This window comes from Homo sapiens, chromosome 2 (genome assembly GCF_000001405.40).
Source record: "Homo sapiens chromosome 2, GRCh38.p14 Primary Assembly".
NCBI classification, from domain to species: Eukaryota; Metazoa; Chordata; class Mammalia; order Primates; family Hominidae; genus Homo; species Homo sapiens.
This window is the reverse complement of record NC_000002.12, coordinates 15,999,910-16,003,372: the sequence shown is the minus strand read 5'-3', so window position 1 is coordinate 16,003,372 and position 3,463 is coordinate 15,999,910. Positions and strand designations below refer to the sequence as shown.

The following is a 3,463-nucleotide window of genomic DNA, read 5'->3' as shown; positions in this document are numbered from 1 at the left end:
ATAAGCTACCAATTTTCTGTATATAGTCGATTCTCATTATCCAGGGCTTTGTTTTTGCAACTTCATCTACTCACTGAAACGTATCTGTAGCTGGGCGTGGTGGCGCATGCCTGTAATCCTAGCATTTTGGGAGGCTGAGGCGTGTGGATCACCTGAGGTCAGGAGTTCGAGAACAGCCTGGCCGAGATCACATCATTGCACTCCAGCCTGGGCAACAAGAGTGAAACTCCGTCTCAAAAAAGAAAAAAATGTATTTGTAACCCAAAAATCAGTACTCACGTGTTTTCACGTGTTTTCAAGGTCACTCATGAACATGTGCAGAGCAGTGAAAATCTTGAATCATTCAATGCACATTTTCCCAGCCAAGGTGGAATAAGGCGAGTTTGCCTTTGTGTTTTAGCCCTCACATTGTTCACAAGTGTCTTCTGAGAGTTCTATCTAGTGCCATGTTTTTCACGTTTTTGTGCTTTTTCTGGTGGTGACTTCACTGTTTAAAATGGCCCCCCAGCTAGCACTGAAGCTCTGTCTAGCATTCTCAAACACAAGGAGACCGTGATGTACCTGCCGTGGCATGAATTACAGTGCTGCTGACCATGAGTTCCATGTGAATGAATCAATCATATAAATTTAACAAGGTGTTCCTAAACAGAAACACATGGAAAACAAGGTTCATATTGATCAGCTAACAAAAATGTTTGACCTGAGGCTCACAGGAACCTAACTGCTTATTTCCCCTAGGAACGATGGTTCTGTATTTGCTAATTCAGTGTTCATATCAACTTCACAGAACACAACTACCATGAACAATGAGAATAGTGAGAATTGACTGTGTGTGGTACATAAATACACACACATGCACAAACATACATATATAAAGGGATATATACACGAATATACAGTCATAAGTCACTTGACAGGGGTCTGTTCTAAGAAATTCACCCTTAGATGATTTTGTTCTGGGAACATCATAGAATGAACCTACAGAAACACACCTAAGCTAACAGTAATAGCCTATTGCGCCTAGGTTACAAACCTGTATACTATGTGACTGTACCAAATACTCTAGGCAACTGGAACACAACAGTAAGTGTTTATGTATCTAAATGGATCTAAACATAGTAAAGGGGCTGGGCATGGTGGCTCATGCCTGTAATCCCAGCACATTGGGAGGCAGAGGTGGGTGGATCACCTGACATCGGGAGTTCAAGACCAGCCTGGCCAACATGATGAAACCCCATCTCTACTAAAAATACAAAAAATTAGCCGGGCGTGATGGCAGGCACCTGTAATCCCAGCTAGTGAGGAGGCTGAGGCAGGAGAATCACTTGAACCCAAGAGGCAGAGGTTGCAGTGAGCCGAGATCATGCCCTGCACTCCAGCCTGGGCAACAAGAGCAAAACTCCATCTCAAAAAACTAAAATAAAATAAAATAAAAAGGCCGGGTGAGGTGGCTCATGCCTGTAATCCCAGCACTTTGGGAGGCTGAGGCGAGTGGATCACGAGGTCAGGAGATCGAGACCAGCCTGGCCAACATGGTGAAACCCTGTTTCACCCTGTTTAGTAGAGGGTGAAACCCTCTACTAAAAATACAAAAATTAGCTGGGCATGGTGGCACGTGCCTGTAATCCCAGCTACTCAGGAGGCTGAGGCAGAAGAATCGCTTGAACCTGGGAGGTGGAGGTTGCAGTGAGCCAAGATCGCACCACTGCACTCCAGCCTGGGCAACAGAGCGAGGCTCCATCTCAAAAAATAAATAAATAAATAAATAAATAAATAAATAAATAAATAAATAACAAAAATAAACACAGTAAAGGTACAATAAAAATGTGGTATAAAAAAATAAAAAATGGCTGGGTGCAGTGGCTCACACCTGTAATTCTAGCTCTTTGGGAGGCTGAGGCAGGCAGATTACCTGAGGTCAGGAGTTTGAGACAAGTCTGGCCAACATGGTGAAACCCCATCTCTACTAAAAATACAAAATTTAGGCGAGAGTGGTGGTGCATGCCTGTAATCCCAGCTACTTGGGAGGCTGAGGCACAAGAATCACTTTAACCCAGGATGCAGAGGCTGCAGTGAGCCAAGATCACATTACTGCCCTCCAACCTGGGCAACAGAATGAGACTCTGTCTCTAAAATAAAGTAAATTAAAGATACACCTGAATAGGGCAGCTCCATTACAATCTTATGGGACCACTGTCACATATGCAGGCTCTTGTTGACCAAACATCGTGATGCAACACATGCCTGTGGATACACACACACATTTCTTTCCTATCAATAATGAGGATCCTTGAGCCTTTTTTAACTATTGAAAAGGTGAGCTTGTCTTTTCACATGAGTTATCAATAAGAAGATAGTGACTAAGTCCAAAAAAACCTCATCTCCTGACTTTTGAGTTTTACAATCTCATTTGAGGTTGAGCAGCATGGAGTCAGCTGTGAAGCAAATGAAGCCCAGGACTGCCCTCCTGCATTGGGAGCCCCTCCCTGGGAAACCTCAGGGCCGCTTTCTTGGCAGAGTCCTCGCACGCTCTGCCCAGGCTGCCAGCTCCCAAGAAAAGGGCTTGGTTCCCTTCCTTACAGACTCCTCAGGTACCCAATTGATCTAATTGCTAGGAAACATGCCTAATCAGGGAATGGCAGAAGAATTCCGTGGTGAAGCATGCCAAGCGCCACCCGATCCTTTTCCAGAAAGAATTCTCTCAAAACTGTTCTGAAAGCATGAGTTTGACGTTAAAAAACTTTAGCCAAAGCAATCCTCTGACTTCCTTAAATAACCCTTTGCAGATGAACCACCTCGCTCTCACTCCTGGGGTTTTCTCACTGATGGTTTACCTGGGTCCTTGGTGCTACAATTTCATTCCTCCCTACTCAATCTGTTCTCAGTCTGCAAAGGCAAAGCCTGACTCTCCACTGAATGACACTGACTCTTGTCCTCCAGCACTGCGATTAGATGACCGCTTGGGCTGACTTTCTTAAGCTTAAATGATCCCATTTGTTGAACTTTTCCTCCTCCAAACTATATTGTTGCCCTCATGTCAATTTCCCAGCTCCATGTTGGACTTTCTAGGGGAAGAATGCAAAAAATGCTTCCCTTCGTTGAGAGTCTTATGACATCTATCTCTTGTAATTTTGTCCAGGGAAGCCAGGCACGTGCCAGGCCCTCTTTTGTAGGAAAGGAGAGCTCGCTCAGCTCATATCTTAATTTGGCTTCACCATGCTTGATTTGTAATGTGTTCTGAGACCCAAGAGAAGCTCTGACATTGCAATTAGGTACCTATGAACGTTATATTAGGATAATATATTCAATGCTAGAGACCCCAGGTAAAGAGAGTGGTAATCATTATCTGTATTCTTCCTATACTTAAGACTCAAGCATTCAGAAACTGTCACAATAAAGGGGAGCTAAGCCAGTTTCTCTTCCTAATTAATCTATTAAATGCTCTCTTTCCCTGTCTCCATCT

The 3,463-nt window shown here is 43.9% G+C and overlaps 1 annotated feature.

The window, feature by feature from the left end:
* Nucleotides 2,344-2,538: a silencer, noted in NCBI's record as "fragment chr2:16140957-16141151 (GRCh37/hg19 assembly coordinates)". NCBI's record gives its function as "represses an EF-1alpha promoter that drives an FKBP-Casp9 reporter gene in an ReSE screen in K562 erythroleukemia cells {active_cell/tissue: K562}" and the evidence as "EXISTENCE:reporter gene assay evidence [ECO:0000049][PMID:32094911]".